The sequence below is a fragment of the Homo sapiens genome, chromosome 22 (genome assembly GCF_000001405.40).
Source record: "Homo sapiens chromosome 22, GRCh38.p14 Primary Assembly".
NCBI classification, from domain to species: domain Eukaryota; kingdom Metazoa; phylum Chordata; class Mammalia; order Primates; family Hominidae; genus Homo; species Homo sapiens.
The window spans coordinates 29,053,188-29,074,899 of record NC_000022.11 but is presented as its reverse complement, the minus strand read 5'-3'; the positions used below and the strand labels follow the sequence as shown (position 1 = coordinate 29,074,899).

Sequence of the window (21,712 nt, the reverse complement as noted above, 5' to 3'; positions counted from 1 at the left end):
GCGGGTATGTTACCTACAGTATATCATTTAATCTTCACAACACTCTGCAAAGAAGTTATCCTGTCTTTACAGATGAGGAAACTGAGGCTCAGAGAGCTGAAGGCATGGCCCAAAGTCACCCAGTAAGTGACAACACCAAGTCCTAGCTTTTTCGCTAATCCAAGCCAATGAGTAAACAAAGCAACTCTGAGTTTTCTTACACCAGCAAAATCCCATCCTTTCCAACATCAGTCTGTGACTTTGGGTGGAGAACCCAGAGGCGGGTTTTCCTACTCCTGCAGACTGGTAATAAACTCTTCCCATCCCTTTCACAAATGGCCTATGCTCAACACCCAAACAGCCTGCAGAGAAATGCAACGCCCTCTTGCCTTCTCTTCCACTTAGAAAGGATTCGGCTACAAGGTTGCGTGTGGAAGTTAAGCAAAAGCCAAGCTTCATCCTGGTCCAGGGCCTCACCTCGGGAAGACCTGGCCTTGGCCTTGGCCTGGGTAGTGAGTGACCTGTCTAAGGTGTGGGCTGACCCAAAACACGGAGCTCGGCGTTGCACCCTCAGGAAGAGCACCCTAAACTCAGTTGGGGAGAAGTTTCCCATCACTGCTTCCTTTTTTCTCTCCCCCTTCTGCGCCATCACCTGAGTCATAGGGAAGTTCAAAGCGGCCCAGCGGAGAGAGAGGGCACGTCCCGTCCGTCTGGGTACAAGGTCGTCCCAGGACCCTAACCTGCCTCTAGCAGGGCGAACAAGTCCATCCCGTTCCTCGCGAGGCAGAAGTTATAATGTCCGCCAAGCGGGTGCAGCCGAGGACTCGGGAAAAGGGGCTGAGCGCCGGCTCCTCCCGCCTCCGCTCTGCTCTGCGCGGGGAGGCGCCGGGTTCCACCGGTGTAGGCGGGAGGAGAGGACTGGGGGACGCGGGGGCGTCGCAGTGAGGCTCAGGGAGGGGACCTTGGCCCAGGGGAGGGATGTCGCTGGAGGTCTCGGAGAGGGGCGTATAGCCTCTTGTAGCGGGGGAGTCGTCCCGGTGCAAGGTGCGTCGATGAAGGACTTGGGGCGGGATCCCAGGAGGTACTGGGGAGCAGGGGTCGTCCCGGCCCGGGAGGGGTCGCTGGGGACTTGGGGACGGGATCCCAGGAGGTACCGGGGAGCAGGGGGCCTCCTGGCCCGTGGGGAGTCGCTGGGGATTTTGGGACGGGATCCTAGGAGGTACCGGGGAGCAGAGGACGTCCCGGCCCGGGGGAAGTCGCTGGGGACTTGGGACGGGATCCCAGGAGGTACCGGGGAGAGGGGGCGTCCCGGCCTGGTTGGGGTCGCTGAGGGACTCGGGCAGCGGGTCCCAGATCCCGAGACAGAGAAGATGTCCCAGCCCGGGGGGCGTCGCAGAGGGTCTTGGAAGACTCAAGGCGGAGAGGGCCTCCTGGGCTGAGGGGCGTCGCTGAGGAGCACCGGGTCCTGCAGCCGGGGGACAGTACCGGGCCCGGGGGCGTCGATGACGGGCCTGGGGGTAGCCCGGGTCCCAGGAAGGGACCATCCCGGCCTGAGGGGCGTCGCCTAGGGGCGAGGGGAAGGGGCCCGGAAGGTCCTGAAGCGGGAGGGAGGGGGCTCTCAGGCCGGCCGGCCCTTGTCGCCCCTCGAGTGGGCTCCGCTCAGGGCGGGCGGCGGGGGGTCGCTCACACTCACCGGGTCCGGGGCCGAGGCCGGGGCTAGGCGCGGGCCGGGCCGCCAGCGTGAGCGCCGCGGCGGAGAGCAGGGCGAGGCGGGCGGCTGGCGGCGCCATGGGCCGTCAGTGCGGGGCCCCGGGGCGCGGCCCGGGGTAAAGGGGGCAGCGCGGGGAGCCGGGGGCGGCCATGGGAGCAGGACGCGGGGCCCGAGTGTAGCCCCGCCCCGGCCGCCCGGCCGCCCCGCCCCGGCCCGCCCAGCTCAGCGCCGCCACCGCCCCTGCAGCCTGGGGCCCGCCCGGATCCGCGGAGAGGCCCGGGGGGCGGAGCCCACTGCGCACGCACGCCCCGCCCCGGCCGCGCGCTGCTCCTGCCACTCACGCATCAGGCCCCGCCCATCTCTCGCCTCACCTGGGCCGGCCCAGCAGGGCCCTCTGTTTGTCCCATCCAAGGGTAGGATCAGCAGGTGAGGGGCGGGGCCTCGGCCCGGCCTCCAAGTCACCAAGCGGTTTGGCCGGGCTGAAATAGGCCGGGCTCCCAGTGACCCCTGCTCCACCCTCACTTAGGTCGTGACCCACGCGCGAGCTCAGCTACAGCGGTAATAATTACAACAGCAGTTTGCAAACTGTTTTCCCTTGCTTAGCTCATCGTAATGGTTAAAAAAAGAATGCTTTGGAGAGTTCACATCCCACTTGGTCACATGTAACACCTTGGACAGGTTTAAAGGAAAAATAGCTCTTACCTCAATTTCCTCATCTGTTAAATGGAGGTGATAATAGCTGCTACTCCTCAGAGCGCTTGCACTAAATAAGAATGCCTACAGCCGAGTGCGGTGGCTAACAACTCCTGTGATCCCAGCACTTTGGGAGGCCGAGACGGAAGAATCGCTTGAGCCCAGGATTCTGAGACCAACCTGGGCAACACAGCGAGACCCCATCTCTACAAGAAAAAAATAAATAACTCAGTGGTCCCAGCTACTCAGGAGACTGAAGCAGGAGGATCGCTTGAGCCCTGGAGGTCGGGCTTGCAGTGAGCCTTCTTCGCACCACTGCACTCCAGCCTGGGTGACAGAGCAAGACCCTGTCTCAAAAACAAAAACAAAAACAAAAAAAAACCAAAACGAAAGCATGGAAGCTTTTACGCACGCAGAGTAGGAGTTCAGCAAATGTTGAATTTCTTTCTCCACCCCAAGTTTGCAGCCACATACTGACCCCTGGTTCCGTATCTTATCACATAGCCAGTTTCAACCAGGGCAACTTTCCTGATCTGTCTGAGGCTCAGCCGTTTGCAGAATAGGAATAATAAAAGGCCTTCAGAGGATTCGATGAGATAGAAGCAAGTAAAACGCCCAACGCAACGTCCAGAAATGGATGAGACAGTACTGCTTATCCTACAGCCTGGGATGTTAGGGATCAGAGAGCGCGCGGCTTGCTTAAACTTTCGGCCCCAGCGTGGTAGGCCCTTTGCCCGCCTCCCCCCGCCCCGACCCCGGCAAGGTCTTCCCCTGCCGCACCCGGGGTCGGTCGTGGGCCGTCCTCCTCCCCCGCCCTCCCGCCAGGCAGAGGGGATTTTCCTACAGTTCCCGCCTAAAGCGCAGCGGTGACGCCCGGCGGGGCAGGTCCAGGCGGCGCGCCGGGCGCTTTCAAGTCCCTGGTCCCGGGCTTGCAAGTGCAGACCTGCGCCCGGCGCGGCGGCGGGAACATCTGCACCAGTGTGCAGACTCGCCGCACCCAGAGCGCGGCTGGGCGGGACCGGCACGCCTTGGGTACACTCGCCCCTGGGCCCCCTCAACCCCCGGGCGCCACCCCCTTATCCACTCCCAGAGCCCGCGTACCCCCAAACTCCTTTCCCCACCCACGGCTGCTCGCAGGGCCGGGCCCCAAGGGCGCAGCTACCTCCCACGAGGCCTCTCGATCTCTGTCCCTCTCCACCCACACGACTCAGCGCTGTAGCAAGAAGAATCTTGTTCAGTTATTGTTTTCATGTGTCATTCCCGAGTTCAAGGATCCTCTGGGCCTCTTATTGGAACTTAGGGGCACCCACCATCCCCTCACCCAGCCAGCCTCGGTCCTGGGGACCGCCCCCCCCACCTCCTGCCACCGGTGATCCCCACTTTTGTCCAGCTTTCCCCTTTTCCACAATTTTGGGCCCTTCCCACCTTCTCCACCGGACCTGAGAACCCTTATTCCAGGACTTCTGTGCCCTCCCAGACAGCAGTGCCTTTGAAGAGAATGAAATGAGAAGATGCAGGTGAAGCTCTCAGCCCAAAGCAAACACTCAATAAAGTCGAACTTTCCTTCGTTCAGCAAATATTCAGCGAGGAACATGCCAAGGGCTGAGGATACAGCCACCAAGACCAAACCTTCCTCTTGGAACTTACATTCTAGTCAACCTGAAAACACACAAATTCCGAAGAACAAAAAGTACTGCAAAGACAAGAAAATTATGTTGACCACATGTTCTGTGGATTTTTTTTCTTTTTCTTTTTCTGGAGACAGGGCCTCCGTCTGTCGCCCACACTGGAGTGCAGTGGTGAGATCATGGCTCACTGCAGCCTCCAATTCCTGGGCTCCAGTGATCCTCCCGCTTCAGCCTCCTGGATAGCTGGGACTACAGAGGCATGCCACCACACCTGGCTAACCTTTGGACTACTTTAAGCAGGATGCCAGAGAAAGACTTCAGCAAAGCAGGACACAGGTCTCTCCAGTTCACAAGGTTCTTTCTGCATCTCATTCAGGTTTCAGAGGAGAAAATAGGAAGGGCACCCAGGAGGTTGGAAACAAAGTTTATTTGGCCAAGTCTGGGCAGCCATGCCTTGTGATAGTAGCTTTGGTCTGTCCTGCCTGCTGCGGGAAGGCACCCCTCCTGGGCTGGCAGCAGCCCCTCCTCCAATTGGCTCTCTCTGTCATGTACACTGCTTAGGACCAGCCATATAATTGGCATGACACAGTGAGAAATGAAAATGTATGTCCTTTGTCCAAACTTATTAAGAATTTCAAGACAGGCCAGGCGCTGTGGCTCACGCCTGTAATCCCAACATTTAGGGAGGCCAAGGCAGGTGGATCACCTGAGTTCAGGAGTTTGAGACCAGCCTGGCCAACATGGTGACACCTCATCTCTACTAAAAACACAAAAAATTATCCGGGCTTGGCGGTAGGTGCCTGTAATCCCAGCTACTCAGGAGGCTGAGACAGGAGAATTGCTTGAACCTGGGAGGTGGAGGTTGCAGTGAGCCAAGATCGTGCCACTGCACTCCAGCCTGAGTGACAGAGCAAGACTCCATCTCAAAAAAAAAAAAAAAAAAAAGAATTTCAAGACAGTGACAGCAGAAGATGAAAAGATAAAGCATGTGTGGGGCCCTTCCAAGCAAGGGGGCCTATGTTGATATACAGGTTGCACGCCCATGAAAATGGTCCTATTGTACAACAGGACTCAGAAATTTGTGTGCAAGCTCCTCCTGGCACTGGCTGCAGTGAAAAACATCCCTCTAACCTTCTCCACCCCCACCTTCTCTTTTCCAGCTGAAAGCCCAGCACAGGTGATGGAAACAGTGCACAAGAGGCTAAAAATACAGCCCAGCACGTCTAGGTCATGGCACTTAACAGCTCAAGGTCTTTTGTGGTCCTGGCTTCTGGCAGAGAGCAACCCGGGATACTCATTTCAGTGCTTTACATGCCTGGGGTGTTTAGCAGCTTTATTTCATGGAAAGAGTGAGGACACTGAATGCAGCTCCTGGGCCTCCAGAAAGATGTTGGTGTCCGTTTGTCTGTTTGCACTGTGCAAGTAAGGCCCCTTTCTTCCTCCGAGGGCAGCAGGATTGGCCAAGAAGCCAGGAGACCTACAATGTTGGAGTTTGGGTCATTCAACTGTCTTTGAAACTCCAGTTGGGATGATTTCTGCTCAAAGGGCAGTCATTTTATGGAAAGAGCCCTGGAGGAGGGGGCCTGATTATAATGACAGCAATAGCAAATGTTTACTGCAGACTTGACTAAGGCTATGCAGGGTGTCTACGGTTGCATTTCACAAAATCCGCCCAGTAGCCTTATGAGGGAGGCATTCTTACCAGCCCCACACCCACCCCAGAACAAAGAGAGATTAAATGACTTGCCCAAAGGTGACATCGTGTTAGAGCTGGGCTTTGAACCCAGGCAGTGGAACCCTAGTCTTACCCTCACAAGTACCAGGCTGGGCCAGGGGTGGTGGCTCACACCTGTAATCCCAGCACTTTGGGAGGCCGAGGCAAGAGGATCACAAGGTCAGGAGTTCAAGACCAGCCTGACCAACATAGTGAAACCCCATCTCTACAAAAATACAAAAACTAGCCAGGTGTAGTGGCGGGCGCCTGTAGTCTCAGGTACTTGGGAGACTGAGGCAGGAGAATGGCTTGAACCCAGGAGACAGAGGTTGCAGTGAGCCGAGATCGTGTCACTGCCCTCCAGCCTGGGAGACAGACCAAGACTCCATCTCAAAAAAAAAAAAAAAAAAAAAAAGTACCAGGTTGAGCCACCTCCTTGTCTTTTTTGTTTTAAAGACAGGGTCTTGCCGGGCACGGTGGCTTACGCCTGTAATCCCAGCACTTTGGGAGGCCGAGGTGGGCAGATCATGAGGTCAGGAGATCGAGACTATCCTGGCTAACATGGTGAAACCCCGTCTCTACTAAAAATACAAAAAATTAGCCGGGCATGGTGGCAGGTGCCTGTAGTCCCAGCTACTCAGGAGGCTAAGGCAGGAGAACGGTGTGAACCCGAGAGGCAGAGGTTGCAGTGAGCCAAGATCACACTACTGCACTCCAGCCCAGGCAACAGAGCAAGACTCCGTCTCAAAAAAAAAAAAAAAAGAAATTTAAAGACAGGGTCTTGAGCCCGGGCAGGATGGCTCGTGCCTGTAATCTCAGCACTTTGGGAGGCTGAAGCGGGTGGATCACTTGAGGTTAGGAGTTCGAGACCAGCCTGGCCAACATGGTGAAACCCCATCTGTAAAAAATAAATAAATAAATAAAAATTAGCCAGGTGTCAGGGCATGCGCCTATAATGTCAGCTACTTGGGAGGCTGAGGCAGGAGAATCACTTGAACCCGGGAGACAGAAGTTGTAGTGAGCAGAGATAGTGCCATTGTCCTCCAACCCAGGCAAGAGTGAGACTCTGTCTCAAAAAAAAAAAAAAAAAGACGGGGTTTGATATGTTTGATATGTTGCCCAGATTGGATTGCAGTGACTATTCACAATCATGGCACACTACAGCCTCGAATTCCTGGGCTCCAGCAATCCTCTCACCTCAGACTCAGTAGCTGGGGCTACAGATGCTTGCTACTGTACCTGATGCCTCCTTATTCTGTCATTAGGCCAGGTATGGTGGCTCACATTTGTAATCCCAGTACCTCGGGAAGCTGAGGTGGGAGGATCTCTTGAACCCAGTATTTTGAGGTTACAGTGAACGAGGATACAGCCACTGCAACCCAGCCTGGGCAACAAGAAAGCCAGACCCTGTCTCTAAAATTAATAATAATAGCCTGGGCACGGTGGCTCATGGTTGTAATCTCAGTACCTTGGGAGTCCGATGCTGGCAGATCACCTGAGGTCAGGAGTTCGAGTCCAGCCTGGCCAATATGGCAAAACCCCAGTTCTGCTAAAAATACAAAAATTAGCCGGGCGTGGTGGCTCATGCCTGTAATCCCAGCTACTTGGAAGGCTAACGCAGGGTTCAGCTACTTGAACCCTGGTGGTGGAAGTTGCAGTGAGCCAAGGTCATGTCACTGCACTCTAGCCTGGGCGAGAAAGCGAGAGTCTGTGTCAAAAAAGAAAGAAAAGAGAAGAAAAAAGAAAATTAATAATAATAATTAATAAAAAATAAAATAATAGGTTTCTGTCACCAAATGCTTACTGAGTGGTCCAGAGCTGGGACTGGAATGGGGCAAGTGAAGTATGTGCCTCAGGCACAGAGTTTAAGAGGATTTTTAGAAAACACAATAAAAAATCCAGTAATCAAGATAAATATTATTTAATAGATATTTTATACATTTAATAAATATATTTAGTAAATAGTATTTAATGCAATATTTTAAAATAATTTTTTAACATCTAAATGAATGCAAAAAAATCCATTATGAACAGACTGTCCCAGCTTTAAATGAAGATAGGATCTGTATTCCCGATTTTCCTTCAGCCTCGGGTTTGAGGCTGCACTGTATCATTACTGAGTCTCCCAGGATTCTGGCTCAGACAACTAGTCATGGGAAATTCAAGAGAGGCAGTCATTTGCTTGTTCTGATGGGGGTGAAGGAAGAGAAAGACTCTGGTCTTGAACATAATGAGTTAGAGTTGTCTGTGGGGCATCCAGGTGGGCACCTCTGAAGACTCACAGTAGGGTTTGGGTTAGCATTGAGGAGGCGTTGGCTGGGCGCGGTGGCTCCCGCCTGTAATCCCAGCACTTTGGGAGGCCGAGGCAGGTGGATCACCTGAGGTCAGGAGTCCAAGACCAGCCTGGCTGACATGGTGAAACCCTGTCTCTACTAAAAATACAAAAATTAGCTGGGCATGGTGGTGAGTGCTTGTAATCCCAGTTACTCAGTAGGCTGAGGCAGGAGAATTGCTTGAACCCAGGAGGCGGAGGTTGCAGTGAGCCAAGATCGTGCCACTGCACTCCACCCTTGGCAGCAGAGCGAGACTGCATCTCAAAAAAAAAAAAAAAAAAAAAAAAAAAAAAAAAAAAAAAGAAAAGAAAAGAAAAGAAAGAAAGAAAGAAAGGAGGAAGTGTGGGACATCTGCGGGAGTCAGGTGAGAACTGGTGGGAAGGCACACAGGACACCATTATTTTGCATACTTGGCCCATGATTGGTGCATATTCAGCACATGTGGTCCAAATCATTGGTCCTCCGAGTTTGCATCACAGTTCAGGAATCTTTTCCAATTCTTTCCCATCCAAAGTGTTTCTCTTTTGCATCATGAACCTCAGATATGTTCCCACATGGGTATGGAAGTTTACTGCTTGGGTGTTAAAACAAAAACATCTGAGGAAATTAAAAGCAACTAAATTCCACTAGAATTGCATGGGTGGGGCAGGGCCATAAAGGTGGAAGACAAGAATTAATAGAAATTGACTCAATTTCTTCTTTATTAGCTGATCCACCAGAAGGAGAATAAGAGCTAAGAGAAGCTAAAAAGAAGAAAGGTCGTAGTAAAGGAAAGACAAAAAAAAAAGGAAGAAGGAAGATTATACGAGCTAAAAATACTGTGAGGAAAGTTTGGCTAAACATCAAAGAAGGACAGATGTGTTTGCAAATAGAAGCGGTGGTTTAGATATGTCAGGAAGCACAGCTCCAAATGATGGGTGGAAAATAAAGGTTAGTGAGACTGAGCTCAGCAGAATAAAAAAGCTTCATGGGAGAATCAAACTAAGGAAGAGGTCTTTCAGCAACATGGAAGCCCTACTGCTTCAACCCCGAGTTCCCCAGATCAAGTGCTGGCACCCATGATGGAAACTCTTGCCATGGTTTTAGTACCCTGGACCAAGTAGTCATTCCATCCTGACTTTAAAATTCTAAACAGCCTTTGATGGGACAATCTCTGCTAAAGACTAACCACTTCCTTATCTTATCTTCAGCTACCTGCTTCCCTTTCCGTTTAACAAAGCATAGAATATTCTGAACAACTCCCGTAACCAGGGGATGTAGCTCCTCTACATTCAACACTTCTGTGAGGTCAATCGATCTGACAAATATATAATGAAGATGGATCATGAAAGTCTGATACCCAAGTCAGATCAGAAACTTTCCCTACTTCCAAGAGGCTCATTGCTTGGCCTCATACACTAGATTTTTTTTTCTTTGTTCTTTTTCTTTTTTGTAGAGATGGGGTCTTGCTTTGTTGCCCAAGCTCATCTTGAACTCCTGGATTCAAGTGATCCTTCTGCCTCAGCCTCCCAAAGTGCTGGGATTATAGGTGCGAGCCACCACACCGGCCATAAACCAGATTGATGTACATGAATGACCTGAGACAAAGATCATATCAAATGTTGCATTACATCACTTAGACCATGAGCAACAGGAGCTCAAGAAAGGGTCAGATGAGTAAATGGACCATAATATTAATAACATTCACATGGTCAGGCGCAGTGGCTCACGCCTGAAATCCCAGCACTTTGGGAGGTGAAGGCTGGTAGATCACGAGGTCAGGAGTTCGAGACCAGCCTGGCCAACATGGTGAAACCCCCATCTCTGCTAAAAATACAAAAATTAGCCGGGCGTGGTGGTGCACACCTGTAATCTCAGCTACTCGGGAGGCTGAGGCAGGAGAATTGCTTGAACCCAGGAGGCGGAGGTTGCAGTGAGCTGAGAATGTGCCATTGCACTTCAGCCTGGGTGACAGATTGGGACTCCATCTCAAAAAAATAAATAAGTAAAAAATAACTTTCACATGGGTTAGGTGTGTTGGTTCACAGCTGTAGTCCCAGCACTTCGGGAGGCCAAGGAGGATCACTTGAGACCAGGAGTTCCAGACTAAGCTGAGCAACACAGGGAGACCTCATCTCTACAAAAAAAAAAAAAAAAAAAAAAAAAAAAAAAAAAAAAAAAAAAAAATCACTGGGCAAAAACAAGCCTGTGATCCCAGCTACTTGGGAGGCCAAAGTGGGAGGATTGCTTGAGCCCAGGAGGTCGAGGCTCTCATGAGCCGTGATCACACCACTGCACTCCAGCCTGGGTGACAGACTGAGACCCTGTCTTGAAACAAAAACAAAAACACAAAAAAGCAAATATTCATTGAGTGCTTACTATATACACCAGGAGCCATGCCAAGTATTTCAGATGCATTGTCCCACTTCAAACTCACAATAACCCTTAGGTAGGCAGTATGACTAGGCCCATTTCACAGCTGAGGAAATTAAGGTTCAGGGGTATGAATTCACTTGCCTAATGAAAGATGGATCTGGGATGCCATCACAGGCAGATTCCCTCCTGGGCCTAGAGAAAGTCTCATGACAAGGACAGGACTAGAACTGGGCCCGGGTATGGTAGATGGATGGGCTGACCAACAGAGAGGCCAGGCATCACGGTGATAACTGTGAGTGTTTAAGAACAGGGGCAGTAGGGCTGGGTGTGGTGATTCACACCTGTATTCCTAGCACTTTGGGAGGCCAAGGCAGGTGGATCACCTGAGGTCAAGAGTTTGAGACTAGCCTGGCCAACATGGTGAAACCCCATCTCTACTAAAAATACAAAAATTAGCCCGGCATGATAGTGCGTGCCTATAATCCCAGCTACTTGGGAGGCTGAGGCAGGAGAATCCCTTGAACCTGGGAGGTGGGGGTTGCAGTGAGCCAAGATCGTGCCACTGCACTCCAGCCTGGGTGACAAGAGTGAAACTCCGTCTCAAAAACAAAAACAAAAACAAGGGCAGTATAGACTTTGGTTGGGTTCAGCCTTTGTTGGTTACTTGAGGCATGATACTTGAGCAACTTGTGCCTCAGTTTCTTTATCTGTAAAACAGGGAACAGTGCTCAAACTCATAGGATGGTTGGTAGCATTTCATGACATGATGCTAATAAAGTGGCTAGAACAGTGCCTGGCCTTCAGGAAGCATTCAATAAATATTAGTTTTATTGACATAGGAGAAATAGCTTAGAACAAAGTACCCTGGGTTAGTTCTAAGGAAGGCTGAGGGTTACCTGTTGTGGCATAGTCAATTGAAGTGAGTTACAATGAAGGCAGAGAAGGCAGAATTTGATAGAACTTGAAGAGTATGTATCAAGTGCTGCCCATGTGAACAGCTCTCTGCTGGAAGAAGGAGATTGAGGCTGAGCACAGGCTCACGCCTGTAATCCCAGCACTTTGGGAGGCCAAGGTGGGTGGATCACTTGAGGCCAGGAGTTTGAGACCAGCTGGGCCAACATGGTGAAAACTCATCTCTACTAAAAATACAAAAATTAGCTGGGCTTGGTGGTCCGCGCCTGTAATCCCAGCGTCTTGGGTGGCTGATGCACGAGAATTGCTTGAACCCCAGGAAGCGGAGGTTGCAGTGAGCCGAGATCGCACCACTGCACTCCAGCCTGGGGGACAGAGTGAGTAAAAGACCAAGCAGAGTCATTGAGTAAAAGACCTAGCAGAGTAAATCTAACGGATGAGTGTGTGGAAAGATGAGGTGCAGGAAAGCCAAACTCAAGATGGAGAAGGAGAAAAGAGAAACAGATGACCTACTCCTATTATGCCTTTTTTTGCTTGACATTTCCCTCCTGTCCCTGCTTTGCAGAGTAAAGACAGATGGTAATTTCCAGGTAGCCCAGGAGCCCGGTGCCATTTTTCCAAGACTGACCAGCTTTGAAAAGACTCTTGCCTGCCCAGTCTCCAGACATTCGCAAACTCTTCCCAAAGACAAACCCTTTCCAAAGCCCTGCTCTAAAATCGACCCAGCTCTTAGGAGGTGAGGCCAGGGCTCGCCACTGAAAGGGAGCAATTGTCCTCTCAACTGTCTGTGGGTCCAGCTGCCATAGGCCTGGAGGTGGTTCCACCACAGCCTGTGGTGCGGTCCGCCTGCAGGCTCTGATTCACTCCAGGGACAACACTTAAAAACGCAAGCAGGCAACACATGCGATTCCAGGAGCCCCTGCCAGATTCATACTCTGTTTTTCCATCATTTCACTGGCCTCCCCCTCAGGAGGGAGGCTCCTGAGGCATTTTACAAATAAAAGAATCAAACCCACCAACAGGACGAGCACCTGATAAGCAGTGAGGCATTGCCCAAGAGTTCCCAGGAAGAGGCGGCTTTGTTCTCCTTTCAAGCCCTTGACACTGCTAACAGCTCTAATTACTGCATTTGCCATGGGATGTAAAAGAAACCCACATTCCAGAAACCATGTAGTCTTCCCGGGAGAGACATGCAGGGAAAGGTGCCCAGGTCTGCAGGAACGTGTTCTTTCATTCCTGGTCCCTAACCTTGGCAGCTGTTCTGAGAACTTAACAGTGCCTCCTTTATGTACATGAAGGAGGGCACTTTTGCACATGTAGGGATGCATCTCACTACCCATATCCCCAAATCTGGTCTGCATATTTGACTACATTTCCTGCAAAACATACTTCTTAAGAACATGAAGATCTTCAAAATTCATCCAAGCCATTTTGGGGGAAATGAGGACTTCAGAAGTTTCTGAGGCTAGAAGCAAAACCGTATAGAACTTCTTCCCACATAATTTAACTATAAAATCTGATGATGTAACACCCACCCACACCCACATCACAAACCAAAGTGACATCACAAATACTAGAGATAATGGCTCAAAGCTGCCTGCATTGAGCCCACATCTAAACAAACAGCAATTTGCCCATATGTGACTAAGGCAGAGAAAGACAGGTGACTAGAAATATTAAAACAAAAACAAAAAAAAAGAGAGAGAGAGAAAAAGGAAAGAGAAAATACATATTTCTTCCCCTTACTAAGCTAGCGAAAATAAAATTTAAGGCAACTGAAATATGGTAAGGTGATTTTATTTCTATAGATGACATTTCTTAGAAAGCCAGATCTCTTTAAATATGTGATTCTAATCTATCCAAATTGTTCTGTTGCTCTTAGTTGGTCCCAGGAAATGGAGGCCGGCAGCATTAATGTTTTCGTGTTGCTTTTATGGTCCCCAGAGTATATTGATTTCCCTGTGAATGAGCTCTTCTTGGTGCATGGCAGTTGGTTAGAAAGTGTATTCAGCCGAACATGGTGGCTCATGCTGGTAATCCCAGCACTTTGGGAGGCTGAGGCGGGCGGATCATCTGAGGTGGGGAGTTCGAGGCCAGCCTGACCAACATGGAGAAACCCTGTCTCTACTAAAAATACAACATCAGCTGGGTGCGGTGGTGCATGCCTGTAATCTCAACTACTTCGGAGGCTGAGGCAGAAGAATCCCTTGAGCCCGGGAGGCGGAGGTTGCAGTGAGCCAAGATCACGCCATTGCACTCCAGCCTGGGCAACAAGAGCTAAACTCCGTCCCCCCCACACACAAAAAAAGAAAGTGTAAAGCGTATTCAGGGCTTGGCAGAACTTACCGGCTGTCATGTCTGTGTTGCAGCATGGTTGAGTGTCTACAGCTCATATGGAAGTCTTGAGTGACCCTGCCGTCCGTATCTTTCCAGCAGGCAGGAATTGTCTTCAATTCCTTGTGAACCCTCCCTGACCCCCGACTTCCTGCCCTGGCATGCTATGTTCTTTGAGAGCCTGAATATTACTGTAACCTTGTGGAGTGACTATCTCCTCCCTACTTGGTATAAAAGGCTTTGGTGAACAGGAGAGGACATATAGTAAATTTCTAAGAACTGGGTGGAAGGAATGGCCTATAAAAAGATGTTAATATTTTGCCTTCAAAGTAGACCTTTTATTCTCTGCTGAAGAACGGTCCTTTTAAAATTCATTTCTCCCTCCTTATAATTCTAGCACCCAATCAATGTGAGACGAGACCCCAGCATCCCTATCTATGGACTCCGACAGTCCATCTTATTAAATACCAGGCTTCAGGACTGCTATGTGGACTCACCGGCTCTCACCAACATCTGGATGGCCAGAACATGTGCAAAGCAGAACATTAATGCCCCAGCACCAGCTACCACTTCCTCTTGGGAAGTTGTAAGGAACCCATTAATTGCCAGTTCCTTCTCCCTGGTTAAGCTTGTACTCAGGCGGCAACTGAAGAATAAGTGCTGCCCACCACCATGCAAGTTTGGAGAAGGAAAACTCTCGAAGAGATTAAAGCACAAGGACGATTCAGTGATGAAAGCCACCCAGCAGGCCAGGAAAAGAAACTTCATCAGTTCCAAGAGCAAGCAGCCAGCAGGGCATAGGAGGCCTGCAGGAGGCATCAGAGAGGTAGACGAGGACCAGTGGTGGGGAAAATGTGACTGGCGAGGGGAGGGAAAAGGTAAAGCCAGAGAACACTTAACGGTTGAGATTATATGGCGTGCGGCTACCGCCTATAATCTCAGCACTTTGGGAGGCCAAGCAGGGAGGATCACTTGAGCTCAGAGAGTTCAAGACCAGCCTGGGCAACATAGGGAGACCTCATCTCTACTAAAAAAAAAAAAAAAAAGCCAGGCATGATGCACATGCCTGTGATCCCAGCTACTTGGGAGGCTAAGGAGGGAGGATTACTTGAACCCAGGAGGTTGAGGCTGCAGTGAGCCATGATTGCACTACTGCATTCCTGATTGGGCAACAGAGCAAGACCCTGTCTAAAAAATAAAAAAAAAAAAAAAAAAAAAAGAAAAGAAAAAAAGATCTATACCAAGTGAAGGAAATCCTAAAGTTGAAGACAGAATGTGGGGAGGAGGTGTAGCATGACAGAGTGGAAGAATGCCCCAGATTTTGGGGTCATGCTATTTATCATTTACACTATGCTTAGTTCTAGAGAAGGATGAGGTGGCTTTCATAAGCACAGACTTGACATGAAGGAAAAATAAGGGTGAGAAGGAAGGCTAGGATATGGGTAGTGCATGCTTGTGCACACACACACACACACACACAACCAGTGGTCAGCTATGGATCTGGATTGTGAGCGTCCACATGGAGAACTTGGCCTACGAAGGCCTGATTGGAATCCAGGTATGTTACCCCGTGGTGGCCAGCAGGCCATCAGGGTTCAAATCCCAACTCGGACTGTAATTGAGGACGACCTCGGGCTTAATTTCTTTGTGCCTTGATATTATCATATTAAATGGGGGATAACGGCCCTTCCCTCATAGGGCTTCATGAATGTTAAATAATACATGCAAAAGGCTTTTGAACAGAGCCTGGCAGAGGGTAAATAATTAGGATCTTGCGTGGCATTCAATAGATGACAGCTGTTATTAACCTTCTAGCTGTGTGGCCTTGGGCAAACCAATTCCAATTTCTTTGCCTATAAAGTTGTCTCCTGCTGACCTCACAGGGTTATGGGGAACACATGCAGTGGTATGTACATAAAGGAATTCAGTAAACTAGAACATGCTAGACAAATGTTGGTTGTTGCTGTAACCAAGACTCTGGGACACAAATCCCAGATAATTATTCTGAGCTCCCCTCTCAAGTTTTAGCTTTGACTTCTCTGCTTTCTTCCTGGCTAGAGTAAAGAAAGTTCAAAGGAGAAAAAACTAACAGTCCGCCAAGATCTTGAGGACAGATATGCTGAACATGTGGCTGCCACCCAAGCGCTACCCCAGGACAGTGGGACAGCAGCCTGGAAGGGCCGAGTGTTGCTTCCTGAAACCCAAAAGAGACAGCAGTTGTCGGAGGACACGCTAACCATCCATGGTCTCCCCACAGAGGGTTACCAGGCTCTGTACCACGCTGTGGTGGAGCCAATGCTGTGGAATCCTTCAGGGACCCCCAAGAGGTACAGCCTGGAGCTGGGCAAGGCCATTAAACAAAAGCTCTGGGAGGCTCTTTGCAGTCAGGGTGCCATCTCTGAAGGTGCTCAGAGGGACCGGTTCCCTGGCAGGAAGCAGCCAGGTGTCCACGAGGAGCCTGTACTCAAGAAATGGCCCAAGTTAAAGAGCAAAAAATAGGAACAAGAACTCATGGGATTAGAGTATTCTCTGCTAGAGATCTGAAAAATAAACACAACTTTGCACCTTCCGTGTTATCGCAGAGTGCTTTACAAATTAGCGACACCCTCTCAGGGGAAACAAAGAGGTACCAGATTCACTGAAGACCAAGGGTCCCTCTCCACTCATGATTAGGTAATTTTGAAGGGTAGATGCTTGGAATATTTTTCCTCCAAGGCCTTGAGAGTCTCTTAGTCTTCCAGGTAGGAAAAGACCTGACAGATAAAGCAGATGTTTTATATTCAGGCTATGGTTCCCTATTTCCTTCCTTCTTTCCCTTCCTTTTCTTTCTTTTGAGACAGCTCTGTCGCCCAGGCTGGAGTGCAGTGGCATGATCATAGCTCACTGCAGTCTCGACTTCCTGGGCTCAAGCAATCCCCCTGCCTCAGCCTCCTGAGTAGCTAAGACTACATTTGGACCCCAACACGTATAGCTTTTTTTTTTTCTCGGTAGAGAGATGGGGTCTCACTATGTTGCTGAGGCTGGTCTCCAACTCCTGCCTCAGGAGATCCTCCTGACTCAACCTCCTGAATAGCTGGGATTATAGGTATGAGCTCCCACGCCTGGCCATATGGTTCCTTATTTTTATAAAGTGGATGGCCGGGCGCGGTGGCTCATGCCTGTAATCCCAGCACTTTGGGAGGCCAAGGTGGGCAGATCATGAGGTCAGGAGATCGAGACCATCCTGGCTAACATGGTGAAACCCCGTCTCTACTAAAAATACAAAAAAAAAAAAAAAAAATTAGCCGGGCGTGGTGGGGAGCACCTGTAGTCCCAGCTACTCAGGAGGCTGAGGCAGGAGAATGGCTTGAACCTGGGAGGCGGAGTTTGCAGTGAGCCGAGATTGCGCCGCTGCACTCCAGCCTGGGCGACAGAGTGAGACTCTGTCTCAAAAATAAATAAATAAATAAATAAATATAAATAAAAAATAAAAAGTGGACCCCTAGGCTCAATCACTATCACTTTCCCTAGCTCCTTCTACATAGGGCTGAGCAGAAAGCCTACCATTCTCACAAGGATGTAAACCCACACACCTTATAACAGATGCTCTCCTGTGACACTGCCTAAACCCCCAATAACCTGGACTCTATATTAACAGGAGAGAAAGTTATATGAATGCTTCCATGGACGAGTAGAAGTTAAAAGTACTGCCCCATGCAAACCTCCCCTTGTTGAATCTGCAGACTTTTACTGAACAGACCAATGACAACATATAACACATACTTGATAAAATTGTATTTTTTTTTTACAGTCATGTGTACAATTTGTTACAAAACCATAGAAGACTACAACTTGTTTTAAATCATTTTTGGTCTGCAAATATGTAAAATCTGTGTGCAATTATCATGTATTTACAGGGTCTTGTGTTAGTCATTTTCAATGATTATTCCAACAATGTCACACTCTCAACATAAGACATGGCTTAAGATAAATATATTAGTAAATAAATATTCTGAGAACATATTTCCATAAATGAAATGTGCTGCTATACATATACAGAATATACATAAGTTGTCTTCTAGCTTTTAAAACATTTTTTAAAAATGGTAATGTTGGAAAAAGAGCCCTTAGACCATTTTATTACAAAATCTTTACAGCAAGGTCTTTACAAAATCTCTTTTAAGTGCTATGGGAAAAATTAAAAAATTTTAAAATAGTGCCTTGTTAGACCAACACAATAGAAAGAGTTTACATAAAGAGTAGAAAAAGGCAGTTCTGTTTAAAGAATAATAGTCTCGACTAGTAATTATTTTTTAGACCTCATTTTAAAAGCATTAGTCCTGCACGAACTTCGAGTAGAGACTAGCAGCACATAAGTATGTGAGCAGTGGGACAGAAGGGGCTTTATTTTATAAAAGGGCTTGGATTAGGAGGAGACAGGGAAGGAGCTGAGAGTTAAAGCCAGCTTACTGGGGCTGCATCCATAAAGAGGTACCTTGTTGGTAAACACCCAAACTTCCATTTTTAGCTGGTTCTAGAACTCTTCACTGTATATGGCTGTCCTACAGCCAGGGCTGGGTCACTTGACCCTGCCCAACTGCCACACCCCAACTTAGAGGGATTGGGGGCAGGGGTTCTCAGTGGAAAGTGAGATACTCCTAGTTTCCATGGCTATAAAACCACTACACACCACTCAGAGTCCACCGAAAAGGGTGTCTGTCATTGGTGGAGTCTTACAACTTCAAAGAGGACATTTCTTTTGATTTACGTGTGACAAAATAAGACCATCGGTTATTTTATTCCAGTGATCTCCCTGTCTGAGAAGCCAACACGAATTTAAAAGACAATGGTTGGTATTGCTGGGCAGGCATGGTGGCTCACGCCTGTAATCCCAGCACTTTGGGAGGCCGAGGTGGGCGGATCACCTGAGGTCGGGAATCCAAGACCAGCCTGACCAACATGGAGATACCCTGTCTCTACCAAAAATACAAAATTAGCTGGGTGTGGTGGCGCATGCCTGTAATCCCAGCTACTTGGGAGGCTGAGGCAGGAGAATCACTTGGACCCGGGAGGCAGAGGTTGCAGTGAGGTGAGATCGCGCCATTGCACTCCAGCCTGGGTGACAAGAGCAAAATTCCATCTCAAAAAAAAAAAAGGCAATGGTTGGTATTTGGTATTTAAGGTTTTAAAATTGCATTTTTGTTTCTACCACCTGTAAGCTACAAAAATTAAATGGGTTTCTTTCGCCATCTGCAGCTATCACTTGTTCAAGTGAAAACTAGACACACTTACTTTAATAAGCCCAGTTGAAGCCACATTCTCTACTCATCTATTTATTGCTTAAGGCTATTGAGAGGTGGTTTTCCAGCCAGGGCTAAAGAAAGCCACTTTGGGAGTTCGGTTTCAGACGAGGAAGAAAATATGCACTCAAAGGCATTAAAAACAAAACAAAAAAACCCCCCAGAAACAACAACAAAAAAATATCAGTGAGAAGCTGCTTTTTGCAGTTCATATTAAAAGCCAGACCCTGCTTCCCTAAAACCACGCAATGCAAGCTGCTGTCCTTAGCAGCTGCTACTCCTGGCCCGAGAAATGAAGGCGTCCCAGATCACATGTCACCAGCTTAGGCGCTTCTCACACCCTCGATAACAGGTGTGCGGGGCGCAGTCCGAGGAGCAGCCCCCAAGGGACTGCACCCGAGGACGGAGAACGGATCTCACCAGTGAAGCCTCAGTGGCAAATGTTTTGATCATTTGATGTTGGAATTTGTCAAATCCTAGCTAGAGATAAGTAAATTTCCTCATCATACGCTGAGGTTAAGAAAAACATTCTGATAAGAGTGAGATTCTCGTTCAAGACTGGAGAACCCAGGTGGTCCTTGTTCTCCTACCCACAGGGGGCCAGGTCTCAAGTTTCCTATTCTCAAGCGAGCTTTCAGACCCACTGGGCCAGTTCTTTCAGATGGCAACAAATATCTGATGAATGAATGAATAAATAAATACAAGTGACCAGAAGAGTTAGTGAACACAAAGACTAATATTAGTTTCCTCTAAAAAAAATTTTTTTAAAGAACAAGGAATACATTGGACAAAAAAGGATGACAATCCCTGATCTGAAATAGCTTTAAATAGATTCTCTCTCCCTTTTAAAAATGAAACACCTTAAAACCACAACGGTTTGGGTTTTTAAACTCTCCCCTTCCCCTTAATAAAAAAGGCTGGAAAAATATACAAAAACCTACCCTTTGGGTGTAAACTATCTGATAGTCTCTCTCTCTCTCTGTCTCATGGAGAATCAATACATAATAGTGCATTAGGTAGACAGGATAGTAGACATCTGCAGACGAGATGAGCAATTTCAGCCATGAGGCAGAGGACTGAATAACCCTGAAGCGGTGCTTCCGTGGGGGAAATGGGATAGGAAAGGTATCATTCAAATGGAGCTCAGTGCAGACCTCGTAGGTCCAGTCACATGCCCCCAGAAAGGCAGCCCAAGGAAGCAGCAGCCAAGGGGTGTGGCTGCCCCCACACAGATGCAGGCGCACTGCACATGGGTGTGCTGCTGGGTCAGTGGAGAGCACTCTCCCCCAGCCCCATCGGACACCAAGGCCACAAAAGTACATTCCTTCTGGGTGTCTGTCCCCACACACCCCGTCGAGCCATTTCTGCAGCCAGTGGCAGGGGGCCCAAAATATTTTTGCAAAGGACTCCAAAGCCAGGACAACCAAAGGGGACAACCTCCTCTTCCCTGCCCGGAGGGTCAGAGTTCAGGTCGAGGGCCCCAAGAACATGCCCTTACTATGACCTGGACCTCAGCCAAGACCAGGGCTGTGAACTCTGTCATTTCACTTGGGACCATGACCTGAGGGGACAGACTGAGGACACTGGGCAGAATCGTCCCCATCACCCTGGAGCTTTCATAGCAGCGGCTTGACCTGGCTCCGCAGGGCTGTGGATCATGTACACCCTATTCCTAGCTGCTGCCATCACCTGCCTAAAGGCGTGGGCTGGAGAGGCATGGCGTCTGAGACCTGAAATCGTGTACATTGGGATTTGCCACGAGAAAGAAAGAGGCAGTTTTGCACTGCTCCTCAGAGCCTGTACCCCTATCAACTAGCTTTACTTCAAGTTTCTGGTTCATTTTCTAAGGCAGGTGAAGCCCTGAGCTTTTCAAAGGCCTGAGCTCCCTTCAGGGAGACAACAGTATCTACACATGATGTGGTTCATTTAATGCAGCAGTGATTTTTTTTTCTTTTTCAGCAAAAGTTGGCAGTTAGGGTTCTTTAAAATATATATTTAAATAACTTTTTACATTTACATACAATATCTTAAAAAAAAACAAAGCAGAGAACTCAATCCCACACCTCGGAACCCCAAGCACACACACTTTACAAAACAGAACAACATGTTATCAAAAGAGGCAAAGGACTCGGAGAATTTTGTCTGTTGATTTGTTAATGGGGTAGGGGGTGGTTTTGCCACAGGGGGCTCACATTTTGGGTTGACAAGGAGGGCTCTCTTTATTACCACTTTTGTGTGTTTGTCAAAGCTAAAAAAATTTTTTGTTTTTGTTTTTTGAAAGAAGTCAGTTTGGAGTCTCCATACAGTTCCCAATTTCCAGGTAAGAGTTCCTCCTGAGCTCAGGCTCCCGGGCTGCTGCTGTCTGCTGAGTGAGATCTCGGTCCTGGGAAAGAGAGAGAACAATCATCAGGGGAGGGAGCTGGCACCACACATGGGACCAGGCAAGGGACTCAGGTGGCCCTGTCCCCAGCATGTGGCAGGCCTGTGTATGCTAAAGGGCTGAAGCAGGTTCCTGTTCCCAGAGGGGCTCCATTTGTGCTGAGAGCACAGGTACCTCCTGGAGAGCCAGCCTCTCACTTGGATGTAGAGAGCTTTCTAGAAGCCCTCAGGTAGCACGAAAGCCCAATATATTAAAGATGTTAACTGGGTGCCCGGTGTGCGTCAGGCCTTGGGAAAAGCAGCAGAGAGGACTCCCTCACAGAGATTACGAACCTTGAGACAAAGTAATTTAGCAATAGGATGACAGAAGTGAACAGAAGGTGTGTAGGTGATCT

The 21,712-nt window shown here is 49.0% G+C and overlaps 3 protein-coding genes across 11 annotated transcripts in view, besides 3 other annotated features; 1 reads left to right on the top strand and 2 right to left on the bottom strand.

Moving 5' to 3' along the window:
- Positions 1-1,865, bottom strand: part of KREMEN1 (kringle containing transmembrane protein 1) — a 95,299-nt gene extending 93,434 nt beyond the window's left edge. For all 5 annotated transcript variants that reach the window (NM_032045.5, XM_011530429.3, NM_001039570.3 and 2 more), the window contains exon 1: positions 1,673-1,865. In NM_032045.5, coding sequence (NP_114434.3) covers positions 1,673-1,769 — 97 coding nt within the window. In that variant the 5' untranslated portion in view covers positions 1,770-1,865. The remainder of the gene's footprint in view (positions 1-1,672) is intronic.
- On the top strand, positions 957-16,228 carry C22orf31 (chromosome 22 open reading frame 31). 4 transcript variants are annotated; one of them, NM_001386866.1, is made up of 3 exons: positions 957-1,023; positions 14,057-14,485; positions 15,718-16,228. In NM_001386866.1, exons 2-3 carry the CDS (start codon positions 14,177-14,179, stop codon positions 16,156-16,158), a joined length of 750 nt encoding a protein of 249 aa, NP_001373795.1. In that variant the 5' UTR covers positions 957-1,023; positions 14,057-14,176; the 3' UTR covers positions 16,159-16,228. The 4 variants fall into 4 exon arrangements, with proteins under 4 accessions (NP_001373795.1, XP_016884230.1, NP_056185.1 ...); XM_017028741.2 differs by lacking the exon at positions 957-1,023 and adding an exon at positions 12,882-12,988; NM_015370.2 differs by lacking the exon at positions 957-1,023 and adding an exon at positions 13,069-13,110.
- Positions 1,847-2,176: a silencer, noted in NCBI's record as "silent region_13583". NCBI's record gives its function as "represses an Ori minimal core promoter by ATAC-STARR-seq in GM12878 lymphoblastoid cells {active_cell/tissue: GM12878}" and the evidence as "EXISTENCE:reporter gene assay evidence [ECO:0000049][PMID:35858748]".
- Positions 11,932-12,699: an enhancer, noted in NCBI's record as "NANOG-H3K27ac-H3K4me1 hESC enhancer chr22:29458189-29458956 (GRCh37/hg19 assembly coordinates)". NCBI's record gives its function as "activates a minimal SCP1, AML or CMV promoter by ChIP-STARR-seq in naive H9 embryonic stem cells {active_cell/tissue: H9 hESC(naive)}" and the evidence as "EXISTENCE:reporter gene assay evidence [ECO:0000049][PMID:30033119]".
- Positions 16,229-17,411: 1,183 nt separating the features above from the next.
- ZNRF3 (zinc and ring finger 3) overlaps positions 17,412-21,712 on the bottom strand; it is a 173,917-nt gene continuing 169,616 nt past the window's right edge. For both annotated transcript variants that reach the window (NM_001206998.2, NM_032173.4), the window contains exon 9: positions 17,412-21,321. In NM_001206998.2, the coding sequence (NP_001193927.1) occupies positions 21,278-21,321 (44 nt within the window). In that variant the 3' untranslated portion in view covers positions 17,412-21,277. The remainder of the gene's footprint in view (positions 21,322-21,712) is intronic.
- Positions 19,405-19,699: a silencer, noted in NCBI's record as "tiled region #8961; K562 Repressive non-DNase unmatched - State 23:Low". NCBI's record gives its function as "represses a minimal TATA promoter and a strong SV40 promoter by Sharpr-MPRA in K562 cells {active_cell/tissue: K562}" and the evidence as "EXISTENCE:reporter gene assay evidence [ECO:0000049][PMID:27701403]".

Excerpts from the sequence above, each read along its gene's own strand:
- C22orf31 (NM_015370.2), top strand. Across the intron at positions 14,486-15,717 it reads CTGCAGGAGGCATCAGAGAG|AGTAAAGAAAGTTCAAAGGA; the intron begins GTAGACGAGGAC and ends CTTCCTGGCTAG.